This window comes from Homo sapiens, chromosome 1 (genome assembly GCF_000001405.40).
Source record: "Homo sapiens chromosome 1, GRCh38.p14 Primary Assembly".
Taxonomy (NCBI): domain Eukaryota; kingdom Metazoa; phylum Chordata; class Mammalia; order Primates; family Hominidae; genus Homo; species Homo sapiens.
In genome coordinates, this window is record NC_000001.11 from 155,377,874 (window position 1) to 155,403,877 (window position 26,004).

General features: G+C 40.9%; 1 protein-coding gene across 13 annotated transcripts in view, besides 1 other annotated feature; it reads right to left on the reverse strand.

Moving 5' to 3' along the window:
* ASH1L (ASH1 like histone lysine methyltransferase) overlaps window positions 1-26,004 on the reverse strand; it is a 227,935-nt gene that overhangs the window by 42,606 nt on the left and 159,325 nt on the right. For 12 of the 13 annotated variants that reach the window (XM_047425248.1, XM_017001785.2, XM_006711450.4 and 9 more), the window contains 4 exons: window positions 17,586-17,680; window positions 2,170-2,243; window positions 630-675; window positions 408-516 (listed from right to left, as the gene is read on the reverse strand). In XM_047425248.1, the coding sequence (XP_047281204.1) occupies window positions 408-516; window positions 630-675; window positions 2,170-2,243; window positions 17,586-17,680 (324 nt within the window). Of the gene's footprint in view, window positions 1-407; window positions 517-629; window positions 676-2,169; window positions 2,259-17,585; window positions 17,681-26,004 lie in introns of all 13 variants that reach the window. The other variant, NM_001366177.2, reaches the window with a different exon arrangement.
* Window positions 16,632-16,832: a silencer, noted in NCBI's record as "peak419 fragment used in MPRA reporter construct". NCBI's record gives its function as "represses an SCP1 promoter by STARR-seq MPRAs in K562 erythroleukemia cells {active_cell/tissue: K562}" and the evidence as "EXISTENCE:reporter gene assay evidence [ECO:0000049][PMID:32103011]".

Sequence of the window (26,004 nt, forward strand, 5' to 3'; positions counted from 1 at the left end):
TTAGCTGGGTGTGGTGGTGGGTGCCTGCAGTGCTGGCTACCAGGGAGGCTGAGGCAGGAGAATGGTGTGAACCCGGGAGGCGGAGCTTGCAGTGAGCCGAGATCGCGCCACTGCACTCCAGCCTGGGCGACAGAGGGAGACTCCGTCTCAAAAAAAAAACAAAACAAAACAAAACAAAAAAAACAAACAAAAAAAAAGTAAAAGGATTTAAACCAACGAAGGCACACACAAGACTCTAAATCTCATTCATTTTCTGTTTCTGTATTCCGCCCACCCATTATGGTTTATATATCTTTGTGCAACTTCTTGAAAAAAATCAAAGAGCCTATTTAACTGTACCCTCCAAAGGAAGTGTTGTATGTATACCTTAAAGCCTATGCTTTAGAGAAATCAAAGCATGACAGTACCTATTGAGGCAGTCATCAACACAGCCCTTCCTGGTGTCATCATCTGGCTTCTTACAGTTACAGGTGGTAGCTTCGTAACCAGAAAGGGGTTTGACATCAACGTAGACATCTTGAAAAGAAAGCAAAGAATAGTTTGTGAACATACAGGATAATTTTTCAAGTGCTAGGCTCAGAAGAACATTAACGTATAGAGGCAGAAAAAATAGCTCCTAAGTTACTCACTTGAACGAATTTTCTTATATAGTGGGACATCTGGCTTTTTGTATAGCTAGAAGAAAAGAAGAAAAATCTTGATATAGCATTTAACTTCAAATGCCAGACGGCAGCATCAATCACTAAAAATACAGGAAATTTTCTATGTGCTCTGCTCATCTGGAAATATTTACAAGACATTTTGGGTTGGATACATTTGAGGGAAACTCTTGGTGTGATCTCTTTTTACTCTGAAATAAAAGGTGAGAGAATAAGATTCAACAGAAGAAGCACTAAATAGTTTATACAAGTGGAATTACATGTTTCTTCAGCATGTTGTTGGATAGACTTAAATGAAAATCACACTGGAGACCAAAGCTATTCATTTGGACAAATTAAGATTCTATTTGCTTCTATCAAAAGAAAGGAAAACAACATGCATAGGACTTACTTAGATGTCTGGGTGGGTACATGAAATTAAAAAGATGAGTACCCTGGCTTTTCAGGTTGAGAATTATAGGAAAACATTTCAAATTTTAATTAAGGCAATTAATTTAGTGAATAAAGGAGAGAGGGCAGGCAGGCAAAATGGAGCTCTCACATTATAATCAAGAAGATATTAGAAAGAAAAAAAAAAAGAATGCATTAGAAGAGAGGCAGTCTTCCAGCATTTTGCCATAAGGGACTGTACAAAACAAACAGCAACTTGCACAAAGCTAGACTGTTTATTAATATATTGGAATAATCCCACCATTATTTTCTAGTCAGTATGTTCAAAGCATTCTCTCCTTCATTGTTAAAAACTCTGAGACAAATACCTAACATATTAATACTCTCAGAATTCAAGAGAGGCCATTGGAGAAGACAACGCAGAGGGGAATGTCAATTTTGGCTTTCCAAAATAAACCTTTGGTGGCATTTTGGCAGAACTCAAGAAATCTATTCACCTCAATTGCATGACTATTTCTATTTCCCAATGGTTGTTCTCAATATGAGACCTGGGGGCTATAAGCTAATACAAAAATCACTACGGGAAACTTTTCAATTTGGGAAGCAAGAGAAAAAACACGGCATCTTCCTGTTTTTAGTTACCAATATATTTAAAGATTTTTTAAAAGTGCAAGAGTGTTAAACATTTCCCTGCTTCCTTTGATAGAAGAATCTCTTTTGCATGTGAAAAATAAATTTCAAACTGATAAGAAGGAGCCAACAAAAATAAAGTCTGAAATTTCTTAGTGCTGCTGGCAGTACATCTAAATTCTCCTGAGACCTGCATCAAATAGAATTCTTACAGAACAAAATCTTTGCTACCAAAATAAAAGTCCAGAATAACAACAGAAGGTTGCCTAGGAAAGCAGGAACTTACTGCTATTTTGCAGTAAGAGTAAAGGCAAATAGGTCACATTAAAGATGGATGCAAATTCATTTTTCTTAGTCCTAACCTTCACAGGGACACTTCTGAAAACCTCCTAAGATGAAAACATAACAAGGGGAGAGAAAAACACTTGCATTTCCACCCCTCCCCCTTTACCACTTAAGAATGAAACCTGGTAAAACAGGCTCTCTGTACCTGATTGTGTTTCCACTGCCAAAGGATATCATAAGGAAGCTGGAAGTCAATTCTCTTTTGTCTTAGATACTTTCCTGAAACAAAAAACACTATTAATTTCAATACCTTTTCTAATATTTGCTTATACAAAGGTGTCAAACAGCTACAAGAACTAACATGTACTGACTAAAAAAATAAAGATTTAATTCTTTAAGGATTTTTCCATCACCAATTTTTAATTTTAGCTCTTCTTTCCCACTATACTCCACACGATATATGCCGAAGATATATTTTAAGTATAATAGTCTACATAAAACAACAAATACAGCAAAACTACAACCAAAAACACACAGGTCATTATGAAGCTTATTAAATATTTTATTATTATTAAAAATTATTAAGGGTACAGCATCTGGCACCTGCTCTTCATTATTACACATAACCTAAGGTTGATTACAAAAAGGAGAAATTCTTGTGTTTAAATAACTCGAGAAGTTTTCCAGGCAAATTTATGATCTTTTAACATTTTTTCCTACCTATTGAAATAGTATTTTTGTTTGATTTTTTTGTTTTTGTCTTATATAAAATTATTCAGCCTTAAAAAGAATGAAATTCTTTTTTTTTTTGAGATGAGGTTTCGCTCTTGCTGCCCAGGCTAGAGTGCAATGGTGCGATCTCGGCTCACTGTAACCTCCGCCTCCTGGGTTTAAGCGATTCTCCTGCCTCAGCTTCTTGAGTAGCTGGGATTACAGGCATGTGCTACCACACCCAGCTAATTTGTATTTTTTTTTTTTTTTTAGTAGAGACAGGGTTTCTCCATGTTGGTCAGGCTGGTCTTGAACTCCTGACCTAAGGTGGTCCACCTGCTTCAGCCTCCCAAAGTGCTGGGATTACAGGCATGAGCCACCGCACCTGGCCAAAAGAATGAAATTCTTATACATATAGTCATGTGCCAATGTTTTAGTCAACAATGGACTGCATATATGATGGTGGACCCAGAAGGTAATAAGGGAGCTGAAAAATTCCTCCTAGCTGTCATAACTTTGCAGTGCAAAGTGTTAATCATGTGTTTGTGGTGATGCTGGTGCAAATAAACCTATAGCGCTACCAGTTGAATACAAGCATAGCAGACATAATTAGGTATAATACATAATACTTGATAAAATGTCTTTGTTGCTGGTTTTATAATTAATATACTATACTTTTCATCATTATTTTAGAGTATACTCCTGCTTATTAAAAGACATCCTTGGCTGGGTGCAGTGGCTCATGCCTGTAATCCCAGCACTTTGGGAGGCCGAGGCAGGTAGATCACGAGGTCAGGCATTAGAGACAAGGCTGGCCAACATAGTGAAACCCTGTATTAAAAATACAAAAAATTAGCCGGGTGTGGTGGTGGGCGCCTGTAATCCCAGCTACTCAGGAGGCTGAGGCAGGAGAATTGCTTGAACCTGGGAGGCAGAGGTTGCAGTGAGCCAAGATTGCACCACTGCACTCCAGCCTGGACAATAGTGCGAGACTCCGTCTCAAAAAAAAACAAAAATCAAACAAACAAAAAAACCAACCTTGGCTGGGCGCAATGGTTCATGCCTGTAATCCCAACAACACTTTGGGAGGCTGAGGCAGGCAGATCACTTGAGGTCAGGAGTTCAAGACCAGCCTGGCCAACATGGTGAAACCCCAACTCTACTAAAAATACAAAAATTAGCTGGGTGTGGTGGCACACGCCTGTAATCCCAGCTACTTGGGAGGCTGAAATAGGAGAATCGCTTGAACCTGGGAGGCAGAGGTAGAGGTGGAGGTTGCAGTGTGTCAAGATCACGTACTGCACTCCAGCCTAGGCAACAGAGTGAGACACGGTCTCAAAAAAAAAGGAAAACAAAACAAAACAAAAAAACAGCCTTGCCAGGAGTGCTGGCCCACACCTGTAATCCCAGCACTTTGGGAGGCCGAGGTGGGTGGATCACTTGAGGTCAGGAGTTCGAGAACAGCCTGGCCAACATGGTGAAAGCCTGTCTCTGCTAAAAATACAAAAATTAGCTGGGTGTGGTGGCGCACACCTGTAGTCCCAGCTACTCAGGAGGCTGAGGCAGGAGAATTGTTTGAACTGGGAGGTGGAGGTTGCAGTGAGCCCAGATCGTGCCATTACACTCCAGCAGGCAACGACACAGACTCTGTCTCAAAAAACCAAACCAGGCTGGGCGTGGTGGCTCACGCCTGTAATCCCAGCAGTTTGGGAGGCCGAGGTGGGCAGATCATGAGGTCAGGAGATCAAGACCATCCTGGCTAACATGGTGAAACCCTGTCTCTACTAAAAATACAAAAAATTAGCTGGGCGTGGTGGCGGGCATCTGTAGTCCCAGCTACTCGGGAGGCTGAGGCAGGAGAATGGTGTGAACCCAGGAGATGGAGCTTGCAGTGAGCTGAGATTGTGCCACTGCACTCCAGCCTGGGCGACAGAGCAAGACTCTGTCTCAAACAAACAAACAAACGAACAAACAAAAACCCAAACCAAACCAAAAAACAGTCTTAGGCAGATCCTTCAGGAGATATTCCAGAAGACATTATTACCATATCAGATGACAGCTCCATGAGTGTTACTGCCCCTGAAGACCTTTCAGTAGAACAAGACATACAGCGAGAAAACAGTGATATTGATGATCTTGCCCCTGAGTGGGCCTAGGCTAATGTGGGTTTGTGTCTTAGCTCTTTTTTTTTTTTCAAGACAGTGTCTCGCTCTGTCACCCAGCCTGGAGTACAATAGCAGGATCATGGCTCACTGCTGCCTCAACCTCCCAGACTAAAGCGATCCTCTCACTTCTACCTGCCAAGTTGCTGGCACTACAGGCATGTGCCACCATGCCTGGCTGATTTTTTATTTTTTGTAGACAGGGTCTTGCCATGTTGCCCAGGCTGGTCTCAAACTCCTGGGCTCAAGCGATCTGCCTGCCCTGGCCTCCCAAAGTGTTGGGATTACAGGCGTAAGCCGCCATGCCTGGCCCTCTTTTCGCTTTTAACTAAAAAAGTTTAAAAAGAAGAAAAAATGTTAAAAATAAAGCTTATAAAATAAGGACATAAAGAAAATATTTTCTTGTACAGCTGTACAATGTGTTCATGTTTAAAGCTAAGTTATTATGAGTCAAAGTGTTAAAAAATTAAGTTTATAAAGTAAAAAAGCTACAGAAAGCTAAGATTAACTTAACTATTGAGGAACAAAAAATAAAAATTTAGTGTAGCCTAAGTGTGCAGTGTTTATAAAATCTACAGTAGTTTAACAGTGATGTCCTAGGCCTTCACATTCACTCTCCACTCAATCACTGACCCACAGAGAGGAACTTACAATCCTGTAAGCTCCATTCAGGTAAGTGTCCCATAGTGGGCTGCCATTTTTTATCCTTTATATTGTATTTTTACTGTACCTTTTCTACATTTAGATATGTAAATACTTACCACTGTGTCACAACTGACTACTGTATTCAGTATACTAACATGATATACAGGTTTGTAGCTTAGGAGCAAGAGGCTATACCATACAGCCTGGTTAGTATATTCTGTTTGCATAATTATAAGATTGCCTAACAATGCATTTCTCAGAATGTATCCTCATCGTTAAGCAACACATGATGGTACTACAACATGGATGAACCTTAAAGACATTATGCTAAGTGAATTAAGGCAGATACAAAAGAACAGGTATTATACAACCCCACTTTCAAAGAAATAGACAGTGATTACCAGAGGCTGAGGGGAACAGAGAATGGAGAGTTACAGTTTAATGGGTACAGAGTTACAGTAGGGGATAATGAAAAAGTTCCGGGGATGGATAGCAGTCATGGTCATACAACAATGCGAATGTACCTAATGACACTGAATTGTCCACTTAAAAATGATCAAAATGCAAATTGTGTTATGTATATTTTACTGGAAGTTAAAAAAAATGTAATATATCAAAAACTATAGTCTATTTTAAAAGAGTAAATTGGATGGTCTGTGAATTGTATCTTAATAAAGTTGCTAAAACAATACAGCAGTGTTAAAACTTTTTGCTTCAATGATTAAACGTAACTTAGAAAAAACTCAAGAGAAGGAAAGCCTATTGTATATATCCATGTTTTTGCTTACTGTATTCTTCCTTCCTAATGTTCCAAAGTGTCTTTTTTTTAAAATTGTTTCCTTTCTGTTCACAGAACTTGCTTTACTCATAGGGTACATCTGCTGGCAACAAACTCTCTTAGTTTTCCTTAATCTAAGAATGCCTTCATTTCTTCTTAATTCCTGACAGATATTTTCATTGGTTAGAAGATTCGGAGTTGACAATTCTTTGCTTTTAGGATGTGAAAAATGCTGTATCACTTCCATTTGGCCTCCATAGATTCAGATGAGAAATCTACTGTCATTTGAATTGTTTTATCCTTATAGGTAAGGGTAATTTCTCTGTCATTGCTTTAAAATTGGTGTGGTTTTTTTTTGTTTTTTTTATTTTTTCTGAGATTCGTTCTCCTGAGTAGTTGGGATGACAAGCATTTGCCAACCATGCCTGGCTAATTTTTTTTGTATTTTTTGTAGAGACAGGGTTTCACCATGTTGCTCAGGGTGGTCTCAAACTTCTGAGCTCAAGCAATCAGCCTCCCAAGGTATTTGGTATTACAGGAGCAACCTATCTCGCCCAGCCTAAAATTGTTTTGTTAGTGTACTGAAATGTGATTATGTGTCTCGGCATATATTTGTTTGAGTTTATCCTGTTCGGAGTCTGCTAATCTTCTTGAATACAGAGATTTCTGTCTCCTGCCAAATTTGGTAAGTTTCCAGTTGTTATTTACTAAGGTGCTTTTCATCTATGCCCTTTTTTTTCCCTCCTTCCATGACTCCGATAACACAAATTTGCTTTTTTTGTCATATTCTCACAAGCTCCTCAGTCTTTCTGTTTTTAATTCTATTTTCTATGTTGTTGTATACGCTGAGTAATATGTATTATTCTATCTTCTAGTGCATAGATTATTTCCTCTGTCCCATTCATTCTGCTGTTAAGTCTATCTCTGAATGTATTTTTTTTTCTGGTTCAATTTCTCTCATAAAAGCTCTGAACTTTTTATTTCAATTACTGAGTCAGTTATAAAAATTCTAATTTAAAAAAATTATTGGCCAGGTGCAGTGGCTCACGCCTGTAAACCCAGCACTTTGGGAGGTGAGGCGGGCAGATCACTTGAGGTCAGGAGTTCCAGACCAGTCTGGCCAACGTGGTAAAACCCCGTCTTTACTAAAAATACAAAAATTAGCCAGGTATGGTGGCACATGCCTGTAACTCCAGCTACTCGGGAGGCTGAGGCAGGAGAAATCACTTGAACCTGGGAGGTAGAGGCTACGGTGGGCAGAGATTGTGCCACTGCACTCCAGACTGGGCAACAGAGCAAGAACCTGTCTCAAAAAATTAAAATAATAAATAAAATAAAATATGAAAAATTATCTTCTTCTATTTCTTGATTTGTTTCAAGCATGTTCACAATTGCTCACTAAGGCATTTTTATCAAGACTGCTTTAAAAATCTGCCAGATAATTCTAATGTCTTGGTGTGGACATAAATTGTCTTCCCAAAGTGCTGGGATTTCAAGGCATGAGCCACCATGCTTGGCAAATAACATATGATTTTAAATTCAAAGTTAAACACTTTTGTAGTAGTATAAGGTTCTAGATTTTATGAAATTTGTATTTTAGCTGGCTTTTTCTGAAACTGCTCCAGCAGAAAAGGGATAAAGCTGCCTCATTACTGCCAGCTGTAAGTAAAAGACCAAGTTGCCTACTAGGCCTCCACTGAAACCTGAGTGTTGGGGGATGGGGAAGCTCCCCATTACTGCTAGGGAATGGTTAGAATTCCAATTTCCCAAGGGGTCTCCACTGACATTGTGGTGGGGTAGTTATGTTACTGCTAGGTGTTGGTAAAAGTCTGACTCGGCTAGACCTCCTCTGACACCATGGCAGTGGAGGGAGAGACATATGATTGTTGGCCACGTATATGTCTTTTGAGAAGTGTCTGTTCATGTCCCTTGCCCATTTTTTTTTTTTTTGGAGATGGAGTCTCACTCTTGTCACCCAGGCTGGAGTGCAGTGGTGTAATCTCAGCTCACTGCAACCTGTGCCTCCTGAGTTCAAGCGATTCTCCCGCCTCAGCCTCCCAAGTAGCTGGGATTACAGGAGCCCACCACCGTGCCCAACTAATTTTTTTGTATTTTAAGTAGAGACAGGGTTTCACCATGTTGGCCAATGGTCTCAAACTCCTGACCTCAGGTGATCTGCCTGCCTTGGTCTCCCAAAGTGCTGGGTTTACAGATGTGAGCCACTGCGCCTGGCCAAGAGTCTTTAAAAAAATTTTATTATTATTGTTGTTTTGAGACGGAGTCTTACTTTTTTGCCTAGGCTGGAGTGGAGTGGCATGTTCTCAGCTCATTGCAACCTCTGCCACCCGGAGTTCAAGCAATTCTGTCTCAGCCTCCTGAATAGCTGGGATTACAGGCACGTGCCACCATGCCCAGCTAATTTTTTCTATTTTTTTTTTTTAGTAGAGACGGGGTTTCACCATGTTGGCCAGGCTGGTCTCAAACTCCTGATCTCAAGTGATCTGCCTGCCTTGGTTTCCCAAAGTGCTGGGATGACAGGCGTGAGCCACCACACCAGGCCTTGCCCACTTCTCAATGGTTTTTTTTCTTGTATATTTAAGTTCCTTATAGATGCTGGATATTAGATCTTTGTCAGAAGCAGTTTGCAAAATTTTTCTCCCATTTTATAGGTTGTTTACTCTGTTCATAGTTTATTTTGCTGCGCAGAAGTTCATACTATTTGTCCATTTTTGCTTTTGTTACAATTGCTTTTGGCATCGTCATGAAGTCTTTGCCTGTGCCTATGTCCTGAATGGTACTGCCTAGATTGTCTTTCAGGGTTTTTATAGTTTTGGGTTTTACAATTAAGTCTTTTTTTTTTTTTGAGACAGAGTTTTGCTGTGTTGCCCAGGCTGGAGTGCAGCGATCTCAGCTCAATGCAACCTCCACCTCCAGGGTTCAAGTGATTCTCATGCCTCAGCCTCTCAAGTAGCTGGGATTATAGGCATGTGCCACCACACCCAGCTAATTTTTGCATTTTTGTTAGAGATGGGATTTTGCCATGTTGATCAGGCTGGTCTCGAACTGCTGGCCTCAAGTGATCCACGTGCCTCAGCCTCCCAAAGTGCTGGGATTACAGGCGTGAGCCACCACGCCTGGCCTACATTGAAGTTTTTAATCCATATTTTGTTTTTGTATATGCTGTAAGGAAGGGGTCCAGTTTCAACCTTCTGCATATGGCTAACCAGTTATCCCAGCACCATTTACTGAATAGGGAATCCTTACCCAATTGCTTGTTTTTGTCAGGTTTGTTAAAGATCACGCAGTTGTAGGTGTGCAGTCTTATTTCTGGGTTCTCTATTCTGTTTCACTGGTCTATGTGTCTGCTCTTGTATCAGTACCATGCTGTTTTGATTACTGTAGCCCTGTAGTATAGTTTGAAGTCAGGTAGCATGATGCCTTCAGCTTTGTTCTTTTTTTGTGTGTAGGATTGCCTTGGCTATTTAGGTTCTTTTTTGGTTCCATATGAATGTTAAAATAGTTTTTTTCTAGCTCTATGAAGAATTTCAATGGTAGTTTAATGGGAATAGCATTGAATCTATAAATTGCTTTGGGCAATATGGCCATTTTAACGGTATTTATTCTTCCAATCCATAAGCATGGAATATTTTTCCATTTGTGTCTTCGCTGATTTCTTTGAGCAGTGGTTTGTAGTTCTCCTTATAGAGATCCTTCGCTTCCCTAGTTAGCTGTATTCCTAGGTATTTTATTCTTTTTGTGGCAATTGTGAATGAGAGTTCAATCATGATTTGGCTCTTGGCTTAACTGTTATTGGTGTATAGGAATGCTAGTGATTTTTGTACATTGATTTTGTATCCTGAGACTTTGCTAAAGTTGTTTATCAGCTTAAGGAACTTTTGCTTAAGCAAACACTCCCCAGTGGGTGTTTGCTGGTGTAAGTTTGAGAGAGGTGTGAAAGTTGATTAGACAAAACGGAATCATTCATACCATATCCAACTAAAATGGAGTCAGGAGGCCATGGGGGAGGGCACTAAGGTCCCTGATCCAGGAACTGATTTTGCATTTCAACAGAAAATTCACTCTAACTATAATTAAGACTATGTCTTATATAGTAACTGCTGCCACTCACCAATGACAACTGTACCAGTGACCTTTTTCTTTTCTTTCTTTGTTTTTGAGACAGGATCTCACTCTGTCTTTCAGGCTGGAGTGCACTGGTGCAATCTCAGCTCATTGCAGCCTCAAGCTCCCAGGCTCAGGTGATCCTCCTGCCTCAGGCTCCTAAGTAGCTGGACCACAGGTGCATGTCACCATACCTGGCTAAATTTTTCTTTTCTTTTTAAATTTTTGTATACATGGGTTTTCATTATGTTGTCCAGGCTGGTCTCGAATTCCTGAGCTCAAGCAATCCAACAGCCTCAGCCTCAGCCTCCCAAAGTGCTGGGATTATAGGCTTGAGCCACTGGGCCTGGCTGACCTTCTTCCAACCTTCCTCTTTTGCTCAATACAACCCCAGCCTTTCTCTTTGTTTTTCAGACACACTTAGGGACTACCCTGGTCTATGTGTCCTGAATTGCGATTCTTTTTTTTTTTTTTTTTCATAGAAAACAGGGACTTGATCCATCACCCAGGCTGGAGTGCGCTGGTGCAATCATAACTCACTGCAGCCTCGATCTCCTGGGCTCAAGTGATCCTCCTGCCTCAGCCTCCTGAGTAGGCATGTACCACCGCACCCAGCAAATGTTGTTATTGCTTTATAGAGAGAGGTTCTCACTACATTGCCTAAGTTGGTCTCAAACTCCTGGCCTCAAGCGATCTTCTCTCCTCGGCCTCCCAAAGTGCTGGGATTACAGGCATGAGCCACCATGCCTGGACTAATTCTTTTTTTTTGAGACAGAGTCTTGCTCTGTCACGCAGGCTGGAGTGCAATGGTGTGATCCTGGCTCATTGCAACCTCCACCTCCTGAGTTCAAGTGATCCTCCTGTCTCAGCCTCCTGAGTAACTGGGATTACAGGCATCCACTATCACTCCTGGCTAATTTTTTTCTATTTTTAGTAGAGACCATGTTGGCCAGGCTGGTCTCGAACTTCTGACCTCAGGTGATCTGCCTGCCTCGGCCTCCCAAAGTGTTGGGATTACAGGTGTGAGCCACCACGCCAAGCCTAATTATTGTATATTATTCCCAAATAAACCCTTTACTTGGAGATATATATTTATATTATCTGAATATATGTTTATTTAAGACTTTAAAAAAGAGGCTAGGCGCGGTGGCTCATGCCTGTAATCCCAGCACTTTGGAAGGACGAGGTGGGTGGATCACTTAAGGTTAGGAGTCTGAGACCAGCCTGGGCAACATGGTGAAACCCCGTCTCTACTAAAAATACAAAAATTAGCTGGGCATGGTGGCGCATGCCTGCAGTCCCAGATACTCAGGAGGCTGAGGTGCAAGAATTGCTTGAACCCAGGAGGAGGAGAATGCAGAGAGCCAAGATCACGCCACTGCACTCCAGCCTGGGCAACAGAGCGAGACTCCATCTCAAAAGAAAACAAAAACAAAAACAAAACACACATCTATATGCAGGTTTTTCTTTTCAATAGATATGTTTTCAAATTATTTGAGAAAATACCAAGGAGCATGACTGCCACATCAAATGTTCAGAGTATATTAAGTTTTATAAGAATACAATTGATTTTTTAATACTGATGATTTTCCAGTAACCTTGCTGCTACTACTACCAGTAGCTTTTTTTTTTTTTTTTTGGTGTGGATCTCTTTGGATTTTTTTTTTATATAAACAATCATGTCATCTATAAACAGAAACAGTTTCATTTCTTCCTTCCTGATCATTATGATGACTCTTACTCATCTTCTTGACTTAATACACTGCCTAGAACATCCATGTAATGCTGAGTCAGAGTGGACAACTCTATCTTCTTCCCAATCTTAGGAGGAAACATTCAACATTTCACCATTAAGAATGATATTAGGCCAGGTGTGGTGGCTTACCAGTATCCAAAATAAAAAAAGTTGATCTCACTATAGGTCCTAGACTCATTAAGAGACTAATAAGGGAATGTTATAAATAATGTTATGCCAGTATCTTTAATAATTTAGATAAAATGGACAAATTCCTTTAGAAATACAACGTATCAAAACTGAGTCAAGATGAACATCTGAATAGTCTAGATCTTTTAAATAAATTGAGTACCTTACCATATTATTCACATAAAAAATTTCAGTTCTAAATGGCTTCCCTAGTGAAGTCTGGTATATGTTTGAGAAAGAAGTAATACCAGTCTTCCAGAAAACAGAGGAGGAAAATAATTTTCCAACTCATTTAATGAAGCTAGTGTATGCCTAATACAAAACTTGACAAAGACTTTAAAAGAAAAAACAACTATAGAACAAAATTAATTCTAAAGACTTCTGCAGAAAGCTCTCAGAACTAAAAAGGAATTTCCTTATCTTATTAAAGATATCTGTAGTTAATATCATTCTCCCCCCCCCCCCTTTTTTCTTTCTTTTTTTTGAGACGGAGTCTCGCTCTGTCACCCAGGCTGGAGTGCAGTGGCGTGATCTCGGCTCACTGCAAGCTCCACCTCCCGGGTTCACACCATTCTCCTGCCTCAGCCTCCTGAGTAGCTGGGACTACGTGCGCCCGCCACCACGCCTGGCTAATTATTTTTTTGTATTTTTAGTAGAGACGTGGTTTCACCGTGTTAGCCAGGATGGTTTCGATCTCCTGACCTCATGATCTGCCCGCCTTGGCTTCCCAAAGTGCTGGGATTATAGGCGTGAGCCACCACACCTGCCTGTGTTTTTTTTTTTTGAGACGGAGTCTTGCTCTGTTGCCCAGGCTGGAGTACAGTGGCGCAATCTCTGCTCACTGTAACCTCTGCCTCCTGGGTTCAAGCGATTGTCCTGCCTCAGCCTCCTGAGTAGCTGGGAATACAAGTGCATGCCACCACACCTGGCTAATTTTTGTATTTTTGGCAGAGATGGGGTTTTGCCATGTTGGCCAGGCTGGTCTCGAACTCCTGACCTCAGGTGATCCACCTGCCTCAGCCTCCCAAAGTGCTGGCATTACAGGTGTGAACCATCACACCTGGCTGACAATTTATATTCATATACTTTCAAGTTCAACTGACACTTCTGCCATCTTCAATCTGTTATTAAACCTACATTTTGTGTTTTAAAATCAGACATATATGTTTTAGTTCTGGGACTTTCATTTGCTATTGTTCATTTTAAAATTTTTATGTTTCCATTTTTAAGATTTATCTGCTTGTTCATTATAAGCATATTTTCCTTTACATCCTTGAACACAGTTATAACAATGACTTTAAAATCCTTGTCTGCTATTTTCAGCATCTGGATGACCTTGGAAATTGTCAGTGTTGACTGCCTTCTCTCTTAATATGAATTATATTTTCATGTTTATTAACGTCCAGTAATTTTGGATTGAATTATGGACATTATAAGTAATACGTTACAGAGATTCTCAATTGTGTTATTATCCTATGAAAATAACTGGTTTCGGCCGGGCACAGTGGCTCATGCCTGTAATCCCAGCACTTTGGGAGGCTGAGGTGGGCAAACTGCTTGAACTCAAGAGTTTGAGACTAGCCTGAGCAACATGGTGAAACCCTATCTTTATCAAAAGTACAAAAAATTAGCCAAGTGTGGTAGTGCATGCCTGTGGTCCCAGCTACTTGGGAGGCTGAAGTGGGAGAATCACTTGAGCCTAGGAGGTAGAGGCTGCAGTGAGCCAAGATTGCACTACTGCACTTGAGCCTCAACAACACAATGAGATTCCATCTCAAAAAAATAGAAATAAAAATAAAAAAATAAGAAAGAAATAAAAGAAAATAAGTTTTTCTTTGCATTAGAGCAACCAGTTACTGTGGGTTAACCAAAATCTGTAACACTCTCTTCCGTGGGGTAGGCAGCAGCTGAAATCCCTACTTAGTATCTTTAGTCTCAACTAACTATACTGGATTCTGGCTGCATATACATAGTTTAGGGGGTCAGTTACCTAGATAAGTGGCTTGAGTTTATATGCAAAATTTGCAGTTTCCCCTATTAGCATTTTATCCCTCACTTTCCTGCTGCTGTAGCTGTCCTGAAACATGGCCCTTAAATAATCAGTAAGATTCAAGGTTTCTAAGTGCTTACTTGTACTGCTAACTGGGACCTGGCCACAGATAAAAAGAGCTATACAAGCGGGAAATGCAACCAGTGTGCTTCTCCTCTTCTAATTATTGATTTTTCTTCAGTTTGTGCCTGCTTTTGGTTGCTCTCCAGTGACTTAGGATTACTATGTTTTAAATTTGTCCAGTTGATGCATTTTTTTCTTATTTATTTATTTATTTTTTTGAGAGTCTTGCTCTGTTGCCCAGGCTGGAGTATAGTAGCATGATCTCGGCTCTCTGCAACCTCTGCCTCCCAGGTTCAAGTGATTCTCGTGCCTCAGCCTCTTGAGGAGCTGGGACTACAGGCACACACCATTATGTCCAGCTAATTTTTGTATTTTTAGTGCAGATGGGGTTTCACCATGTTGGCCAGGCTGGTCTTGAACTCCTGACCTCAGGTGATCCACCTGCCTCGGCCTCCCAAAGTGCTGGGATTACAGGTGGATAATTGTTATTCCCGGGAGGGTTAGCCTGATGTAATCTACTCTTTCAATACCAAAAGTAGAATTCCTCGTCTTTTTTTTTTTTTGAGATGGAGTCTCACTCTTGTCACCCATGCCGGAGTGCAATGGGGTGATCTTGAACTCCTGGATTCAAGGGATCCGCCCACCTCAGCCTCCCAAAGTGCTGGGATTACAAGTGTGAGCCACCGCGTCCAGCCTTGTTCTTATTTTCAAAGCCTATTTATCATTAGCAGATTTTAAATTTGCTGAGAGCCTGCTTCCGCTGCTATGATCTCACTAGTAAATACAAAAGACTCTTTCAAAAGAGCTTTGGCACTAATCCTAGAGAATAAGGAACTTACTCTTACCTTCATTAAGTAAGCACACGTAAAGTTTATGTAGCTGAGAATTAAACCTTGTAACTTCATGTTGTAGTTAAATCTGTCTCCAGCCACCCAATACAGAATAATTCAAGCAAACTAATCTTTACTGAAGAACTTGTTTATGTCTGCTGATTAAAAAACTCTGCTGGTACTGAACTCTCTCAGGGAGAAAAGGAGATTAGTTAATCAGAATATAAACAAGAGCTCCACAGTCAAGAGAGTTAAGAGAATCATAGTTGAAGAAAACACTACAAGACATAGGATCAACATCAAGTATACAATTAAGGTGTTCCTGGTTTCATACTATGTGTTTAATGAACCCCTTTAAAGCAATTTTGTTTAAACAAACTGAATATATGAAGAAAACCTGACATTTACATTCAATATTTTATCCTTATTTCTTTTCTTTTTTTTTTTTTTGAGACTGAGTCTCACTCTGTCGTCCAGGCTGGAGTGCAGTGGTGCAATCTCGGCTCACTGCACACTCCGCCTCCTGGGTTCACGCCATTCTCCTGCCTCAGCCTCCCAAGTAGCTGGGACTACAGGTGCCTGCCACCATGCCCAGCTAATTTTTTATATTTTTAGTAGAGACAGGGTTTCACTGTTAGTCAGGATAGTCTCAATCTCGTGACCTCGTGATCCACCTGCCTAGGTCTCCCAAACTGCTGGGGTTACAGGTGTGAGCCACCGCACCCAGCCTTCTCCTTTTCTTTCATTTGTACGGCAAATATTTGATAAACTTCTATTATGTACCAGGTGCTGGGAAATCCAGGGAGAGTAAGAAAGACAATGATCCTGTACTGCCGGAGATTATAATCTAATGGAGGAGCCAAATAAATATTGTAATTATAGATATAGAGAGTGATGTTATCTAGAACAAAGAGAGACGAAGCCTCTTTTGATGAGACTATCAGGAAAATTATTTTAAAGAAAATAAATCGTATTGAAGCTGATACTAACATTAAGATCATCCTTAAAAGATGAGCAGAAACCAACCATGGGAAGACTGAAAAAGAGCTTTTCAGGCAATGGGAATAACAAGTATAATGACCCTCCAGTGGGAAAAAGCTTGCTATGTTCTAAAAACTGAAAGAAGGCCAGTATGACACAATATAGTGAATAAGGTTGAGATGGGAATGAATAAAAGGAGAGAGATGGGGTAATCAGGAACCAGATCATTCAAGTCAAGAAGTTTGCATTTTAATCTGATGGTAAGCCATGCAAAGCTTTTAAGTATGATCTGGGTTAAGTTAAAAAATAATTTCTGTTTTTACTGAATGGAGGCTGGGCCACATGGAAACACAACTGGAAATAGATCTGTTAGATGGCTATTGCAGCAGCCTGAAGAAAAGATACTACTGTCACAGACTTGAGAGATAGCAATGAGATTTGGAGAGGAGTAGGATATATTTCAGGGATAGAAACACAACAGAACTTGAGATGAACTGGATAAGGGACAGAAAAAAATGGGAGGAACTTAGAATGACTTCTTGGTACTTTTTACTTATCTGATAAGCTCAATAATAGGGTCCTGGAAGGTACTACTATCCAAATGCTAAACAAAGTCTTGACATTTTTGCCAAGAATGAACAGTAGAATAAATATCACTCCACTTTCAAGCAGATAAATACTCAGTAAAAGCAGTGGGGCTTCTTACTCTGATCATATGTGTGTATAAATCATCTATTTTTGAACGTGGAAAATATTTGACACTGAATGGCTACTACTTGGTTTTTCCTAGGTGACATACCTATGGAAACAAAAGGTACAGACATAGTGTTATTTATTTAATTTTTTTTAGAGACAGGATTTCTCTCTGTCAACTCAGGCTAGAGTGCAGTGGAAGGATCATGACTACACCATAGCCTCAAAATCCTAGGCTTGGGTGATCCTCTCACCTCAGCCTCCAGAGTGGCTGGGACTACAGACCTGTGCCACCACGTCCAGCTAATTTTCATATTTTTTGTAGAGACAGGGTGTCACCAAGTTGCCCAGGCCATCAACTCCTGGGCTCAAGCAATCCACCTGCTTCAGCCTCCCAAAGTGCTAGGATTATAGGCATGAGCCACCATGCCTGGCCCAGTGTTATTTATTAAGGCTCCAATGAACAAGATTTATGCCACTGTGACCCCCTGACTATCAAACAGTGTATAAAATTCTTCAGAGTAAGTTTAAGTAAAATGGTAAAGAAAGAGCTTGATCCCACTGGAGAAATAGAAATAATAACAAGATTAAAAAGACATTTCCCTCAAACCCAGGAAATACTGTTTCTTCTCAGCAATACATTGTGTGGACTCGGTACTTACCAACATGAATGGGCGCTGGAAATAATCCATATTCATGCTCTCCTGGAGTATACTCCAGCTTCTCTTTCTTTAATTGGATCAATCGACTCTTTGGGCTGTGATAAAAAAAGAATGGGAAACAGTCAAGAGGCAAAGAAATTTCCTCCTGTGGTCAAATACAGATAACAGATCATCCTATGAGGAGAGGGTACCAAGTACATTGATAAATTAAAAAAAAAAATCTTTACTTCTGAAACTGTCCTTAAGAAAGAGGCTCCTGGCTGGGCGTGGGGGTTCACGCCTGTAATCCCAATACTTTTGGAAGCTGAGGTGGAAGGACTGCCTGAGCCCAGGAATTTGAGACTGGCCTGGGTAACAAGTGAGACCCTGTCTCTACTTTTAAAAAAAAAGAAAGAAAAGAAAGATGCTCTTTTATTTTCTCCAACAGTTTTGGAGAAGGAACACAAATTTTAGATCGGATTATAATGACTGCCTTATATTTGGTTACTTTATATCAATACTGTGAAGTAGGTAAGAGGAAAGATGCTCTATAAGACTGAGTGACTTGCCTTGATTTTAGTAGTTGGGAAGGAGATTTAAGCTTCAAAACCTCAGTTTCTTGCTCAACATCTACTCACTATATTATTCTATATTATTCTCTTGCTTTTATTCCACCATGTCTCTCTGGGCTTGTGTCTTCTACTCACATTATTGGTTTGTTTCCTAAAGTTTAAAATGCGATCTCAAGAGATTTCATAAATATATAAAAGGGGGAAAAAAAGAAGGAAAACAAAAAAGGAAAATGAGAAAAAAGGGCCTTAGAAGAGTCTCATTTAAGATATTATGACTATATTTTAGCTTAAAGTTCCAATTAATTCTTTTTTTTGTTTTTTTCAGATGGAGTTTCGCTCTTGTCACCCAGGCCGGAGTGCAATGGTGTGATCTTGGCTCACTGCAACCTCCACCTCCCAGGTTTAAGCGGTTCTCCTGCCTTAGCTTCCCAAGTAGCTGGGATTACAGGCATGCGGCACCACGCCTGGCTAATTTTTGTATTTTTAGTAGAGATGGGGTTTCACCATGTTGGTCAGGCTGGTCTTGAACTCCTGACCTCAGGTGATGCATCCGCCTCAGCCAAAGTGCTGGGATTACAGGCGTGAGCAACTGTGCCTGGCCTAAAGTTCCAGTGAATAAGACAAAGCTGATATATTTATTTCCTTTAACGAAATTATAACATACTGACTTTTGGCCGGGCGCAGTGGCTCACGCTTGTAATCCCAGCACTTTGGAAGGCCGAGGCGGGTGGGTTATGAAGTCAGGAGTTCGAGACAGGCCTGGCCAACACAGTGAAACCCCATCTCTACTAAAAATACAAAAATTAGCTGAGCATAGTGGTAGGTGCCTGTAATCCCAGCTACTTGGGAGGCTGAGGCAGGAGAATTGCTTGAACCCAGGAGGCAGAGGTTGCAGTGAGCCGAGATCGTGCCACTGTACTCCAGCCTGGGAGACACAGCTAGACACCATCTCAAAAAAAAAAAAAAAAAGCTGGGTGTGGTAGTGCATGCCTTTGGCCCCAGCTACTCGAGAGGCTAAAGTGAAAGGATCACTTGAGCCCGGGGTGGGGCAGAGGCTGCAGTAAGCCCAGATAGCACACTGCACTCCAGCCTGAGTGACAGAGCCAGACTCTGTCAAAAAAAGAAAAAAAAAAAAAAAAAGCATGGTAACAAAAGGCAATGCATGATCATGGATTATATCCTGAATCAGTGTAAGAAAGATTGCTGACCGGACAGGGTGGCTCATGCCTGCAATCCTAGCACTGTGGGAGGCCAAGGCGGGTGGATCACCTGAGGTCAGGAGTTCAAGACCAGCCTGGCCAATGTGATAAAACCCTGTCTCTACTAAAAATACAAAAATTATCTGGGTGTGGTGGAGCGCGCTGGTAATCCCAGCTACTCAAGAGGCTGCAGCTGGAGAATCGCTTGACTCCGGGAGACGGAGGTTGCAGTGAGCCGAGATTGTGCCATTGTACTACAGCCTAGACAACAAGAGCGAAACTCTGTCTCAGAAAAAAAAAAAAAAAGAAAGAAAGATTGCCATCATTATGAAGACAACCTTCATTTATTTATTTTTTTCTTGAGACAGAGTCTCACTCTGTTGCCCAGGCTGGAGTGCAGTGGCATGATCTTGGTTCACTGCAACTCTGCCTCCCAGGTTCAAGTAATTCTTGTGCCTCAGCCTCCCGAGTAGCTGGGATTACAGATGCCAACTACTGGGATTACACTATGCCTGGCTATTTTTTGTATTTTTAGTAGAGACAGGGTTTTATCACATTGGCCAGGCTGGTCTTGAACTCCTGACCTCAGGTGATCCACTTGCCTCAGCTCCCAAAGTCTTGGGATTACAGGCGTGAGCCACGGCACCTGGCCAGGTTATCTTAATAATTCATAAAACAGGTAATAAACATCATGTGCTTTAGGAAAATATTAAATGATTTTTAATTTATTTACTCTCATAATTTATTATGATTAATATTTAAACAAGTATAAAATTATTTAGTACCAAATAACCAGAGGAAAAATAGGATCAAAATCATACTGACAGGGAAAGAAAAACTGTCTTGGATTTAAAACAATGTTCCAGTAAAAACAATATATTTATAAAGACTGTTATGATCTGAGTCTATTAATATACATCTAGGACTATAACATAGATGTACTTAAACACAGCACAGCTCACTCAAACGCAGATATATGTAAAAGCACTTTATAAACAGCAAAGGAGAACACAAACATAACTTAATAGATGTAATAAATGTTGCTCACAGAAACTGTTTTGGATAGAAATATAAAGTCATTTGTCATTTGATAGTGATACATTCTGACAAATGCTGTGTGAACATCATAGAATATACTTACACAAACCTAGATGGTATAGCTTATAGGTCCTAGGCTACAAACCTGTTTAGCATGTAACTGTACTGAATATTGCAGGCAGTTGTAACACAATGGTAAGTATTTGTGTATCTAAACATTTCTAAACATAAGAAAGATAGAGTAAAAATACGGTTGTAAAAGATAAAAAGTGGTACACTTTATAGTATAGAGTACTTACCATGAATGGACCTTGCAGGACTGGAAGTTGCTCTGGGTGAGTCAGTGAGTGTGTGGTGAATGAATGTGAAAGCCTAGGAAATTACTGTACATTGTACAAAAAAATGTACAAAAAAGCCAAAATGCTAGGAAAGCTATGACATCACTAGGTGATAGGAATTTTTATTTTTTTGCTTTTTTGAGACAGGGTCTCATTCTGTCTCCCAGGGTAGAGTGCAGTGGCGAGATCTCAGCTCACTGCAGCTGCAGCCTCAACCTCCCAGACTCAAGTGAACCTCTCGCCTCAGCCTCCTTGCCCTCCGAGTAGCTGGAACTACAGGTGCATGCTACCACGAAGGGATGGGACATTTTATTTATTTATTTATTTTTGTAGACACGGTGTTTCACCATGTTGCCCAGGCTGGTCTTCAACTCCTGGGCTCAAGCGACTTGCCTGCCCTGGCCTCCCAAAGTGCTAGGATTACCGGTGTGAGCCATTGTGCCCAGCCTACAAACTTTTCAGGATAAAATTTGGCACTTAATCCATTTTGAAATGTCTATCTTGGGTAGATATGAAATTGATGAACCAAAATAATTTCCTCATATTTGTTACCACATGAGAGGGCAGATGCATTTAAATCTCTTTAAGGAGATTTTAAGTCATAGATATTTTAGTAATTATATGTAGAAAATGCTGCTGGGTTCTACAAGGCATCCAAGTTGAACAAAGGGTGGCCCTGGCCATAAGAAGTTTACAATTTGGTGGGACAACAAGTATGTATGTAGATATCTAGATTATCTATCAGAATGTGATAAAACTTTGAGGCCGGGAGCAGTGGCTCACATATGTAATCCAAGCATGTAATCCAAGCACTTTGGGAAGTAGGGGCGGGCAGATTACCTGAGGTCGGGAGTTCAAGACCAGACTGGCTAACATGGCTAAACCTTATCTCTACTAAAAATACAAAAATTAGCTAGGCGTGGTGGCACCTGTAATTTCAGCTACTTGGGAGGCTGAGGCATGAGAACTGCTTGAACACAGGAGACAGAGGTTGCAGTGAGCTGAGATGGCACCACCGCACTCCAGTCTGGGTGATAAAGTGAGGCTGTCCCACCCCAACCCCCACCCCCCAAAAAAAACAGAATGTGATAAAACTCATAACACTACTTACTAGGAGGAGATACTAAGTTCTACAAAAGGAGAAAGAAAAGTAATTGTAATTAGGAAAGAATTAAGAAAACTTATTTGAAAAGATAAATGGGATTTTGACAAGGAAAGGTGAAGTAGGGAAGGTAGTTCATACTACACAGAGCAGACATCTAGGATAAACCCCAGGAGAAAAGTGTAGGATGGAGGAAGTAAGGAAAATGATCAGATGTGGCTAAAGGAACAAGTATTTGAGGACTATGACTGGACAAATAACTAGAAAAATAGGTTACACAAGATAAGGGTGGGACTTAAATATTATGCAACAGTTCTGCAGGAAGTAACAAGATTTCAAAGGAATCTGGGTAGGGAATAACGACCCCAATGAGGACATATGCTGGGCGTGGTGGCTCACGCCTGTAATCCCAACAGTTTGGGAGGCTGAGGCGGGCAAATCACGAGGTCAGGAGATTGAGACCATCCTGGCTAACACGGTGAAACCCCGTCTCTACTAAAATTATAAAAAATTAGCCAGGCATGTAGTCCCAGCTACCTGGGAGGCTGAGAAGGAGAATCGCTTGAATCTAGGAGGCAGAGGTTGTAGTGAGCCGAGATCGCATCACTGCAATCCAGCCTGGGTGATAGAGCGAGACTGTCTCAAAAAAAAAAAAAAGAGGACATATTACTTCTAAAGAGGAAGAGTCTTAGAGGAGTAATTTGTCCAAGGTCACAATATAGTGATTGTGGAGTAAGACATTAAATAATATTTTGAATGCCTACTTCATGTATGGAAAGCATTCTGACATTGATAACTGAGTAACAGGTACTATTTATCATTGCCATTTTAAAGCTGAGGACACTGAGGATCAAGGGTTGCCCAAATCAATAACTTGCCCAAATTCATATAACTAGTAACTGACGAAGCTAGGATCTGATAAATTCTATAACCACAAATGACAATTCTATTCTATATTCCACTGGCAGTTAAACTTTTCTGAAAATACTGTTTTCATAAATTACCTTCCTAAAGATGTTAACATTTCTCTCAAAACAATCTATCCACCAAAGTACAGTCTACTTTCTGGAACAGATTTATTTTGCTAATTTTACTAAATTTAGATAAACATAAATTTACATACTTCAGCATAATCACCTATTTACAGGGAGAGACGGTCCAGACCCAGACAAAAGATAAATTAAGATCATGCCAGTGATGTGGTGGCTCACGCCTGTAATCCCAGCACTTTGGGAGGCTGAGTCAGGCAGATCACTTGAGGCAAGGAGTTTGAGACCAGCCTTGGCCAAGAAGGTGAAACCCCATCTTTACTAAAAATACAAAAATTAGTAGGGCGTAGTGGTGTACGCCTCTAATCCTAGCTGCTCATGAGGCTGAGGCACGAGAATCATTTGAACCAGGGAGGTGGAGGTTGCAGTGAGCTGAGATCGTGCCACTGCACGCCAGCCAGGGTGACAGAGTGAGACTCTCTGTCTCAAAAAAAAAAAGTGTTAAAAAAGATCGCCGGTGGCCGGGCATGGTGGCTCACACCTGTAATCCTAGCACTTTGGGAGGCCAAGGCAGGCGGATCACTTGAGGTCAGGAGTTCAAAACCAGCCTGGCCAACATGGTGAAATCCCTTCTCTACTAAAAATACAAAAAATTAGCCAGGCATGGTCGTGGGCACCTGTAATCCCAGCTACTCAAGAGGCTGAGGCAGGAGAATTGCCTGAACCTGGGAGGCGGAGATTGCAGCGAGCCAAAGTCATGCCACTGGACTCCAGCCTGGGTGACACAGCAAGACTCCATCTCAAAAAAAAAAAAAAAAAAGATTGGTAGGGCACGGTGGCTCACGCCTGTAATCCCAGCACACTGGAAGGCCAAGGTGGGTGGATCACCAGAGGTCAGGTCAAGAGGTGGAGACCAACCTGGCGAACATGGTGATATCTTGTCTCTACTAAAAATACAAAAAATTAGCCGGGAGTGGTGGTGGGCACCTGTAATCTCACCTACTTGGGAGGCTGAGGTAGGAGAATTGCCTGAACCCCGGAGGTGGAGGTTACAGAAAGCCAAGATCGTGCTATTGCACACCAGCCTGGGTGACAGAGTGAGACTCTAAGAAAAAAAAAGAGCATACTGGCTTCCGGGAACAGTGGCTCATGCCTGTAATCCCAGCACTTTGGGAGGCCAAGGCAGGTGGATCACCTGAGGTCAGGAGTTTGAGACCAGCCTGGCCAACATGGTGAAACCCCGCCTCTACTAAAGATACAAAAAATTAGCTGGGCGTGGTGGCAGGCGCCTGTTATCTCAGCTACTTGAGAGGCTGAAGCAGGAAAACTGCTTGAACCCAGGAGGTGGAGGTTGCAGTGAGCCAAGGTTGCACCACTGCACACCAGCCTGGGTGACAGAGCAAGACTGTCTAAAAAAAAAAAATCATACTAGCTGGGCATGGTGATTGTGCCACTGCCAGACTCCGTCTCAAACAAACAAACAAACAAACAAACAAACATCATATCAGGGTTAAAATACTTCTGAACATCATCTACAGACAACAGGAAAACAGACTCCCTTAATGTTCTTTCATAAACAATATGGCAACTTTTGCCCTGGGGATATGAATTTGAAGAAGGGGGAGGCATCATTTTTTCATAATGTCACCTTTCCCTAACCTTGCTCCAATCCAGACCATTTTACTGCACAACTTAAAATCCTCAAGGAATACGGCACTTTTAGATAAAAAGGTAAAATTATATTTCAGATTACTATATAAACTTTATGCTAAAAAGTACAGAATGTAAAAAATGGACATGTTATTCTAGAGCTAATCTTTTAAATAAAAAAAAGGAATTAATCAAATGGTCCAGACAAGTTATCCATGTTTTACTGCTTTGTTTTGTTTTTAAAGACAGGGCCTTGTTCTGCCACCCAGGTTGTACAGTGGTGCAATCATAATTCAATGCAGCCTTGAACTCCTAAGGCTCAAGCAATCCCACCATCCCAGTCTACTGAGTAACTAGGACTACAGGTCTGTGTGCCACTATGCCTGGATAATTATTTAAAAACTTTTTGTAGAGATGGGGTCCTCACCATGATGTCTAGGCTGGTCTCAAACTCCTGGCCTCAAGCAATCCTCCTACCTTGGCCTCCCGAAGTACTGGGATTACAAGTATGAGCCACCACACCCAGCCAAGTTATACTTTTTTTTTTTTTTTTTTTCAGCATAAAAAGACATTGAAGGCCGGGTATGGTTGCCTGTAATCCCAGCACTTTGGGAAGCTGAGGTGGGTGGATCACCTAAGGTCAGGAGTTCAAGACCAGCCTGGCCAACATGGTGAAACCCGTCTCTACTAAAAAAAAAAAAATACACAAATTAGCCAGGTGTGGTAGCGCACGCCTGTAATCCCAGCTACTTGGGAGGCTGAGACAGGAGAATCGCTTGAACCTGGGAGGCAGAGGTTACAGTGAGCCAAGATCGTGCCATTGCACTCCAGTCTGGGTGACAAGAGCGAAACTCCATCTCAAAAAAAAAAAAGAGCTGGTGGTGGTGCAAATGCCTCTAATCCCAGCCTTTTGGAGGTTGCAGCTGAAGGATCATTGTGGAAGGATCCCAGGAGTTTCAGACCAGCCTAGGCAATGGAGTGAAACTCCTGTTTCAAAAAAAACCAAAAAAACCCACAAAAGATATGTCAGTACTGTAGAAGCTAAGTAAAGTAGGGAAAAGTACAAACAACTCTGCAGCCAATTATTGCCAGAACTCAAATGTTAACTATGCTATTGACTAACTGTAAAACTCTAGACAAATTACTTAAGTTTCTCTAATTCTCTAAGCCTTAGCTTCTTCAATAATATTAATAATACCTGTTCTCTCACAAGGTTCTTGAATAAATTTATAAGATAACATATATAAACTCATTAGCACAGTAACTGGCACATAATAGGTATGCAAGAAGTATTAACTTTCTTTTTACTTCTTCAGTATTAGCCCAGACTAATATACCTGAAAAAATTCCAAATATATTAGGGAACTAGATGCAAAAATTGAATCCAAGCAATTACCAGAAGAAAACAAAAGTAAATTTCTTACTTGCTTAAAATTTGTGTGTGGGAGAGCTTTTCTAATGACTTGAAATACAGAAGCTTTTTTTGGAGGGCGGCGATCTATTCTGCAGAAGCTGTATCCCCTCTTTCACTTCCTGCTGCAGCCAATAAAGG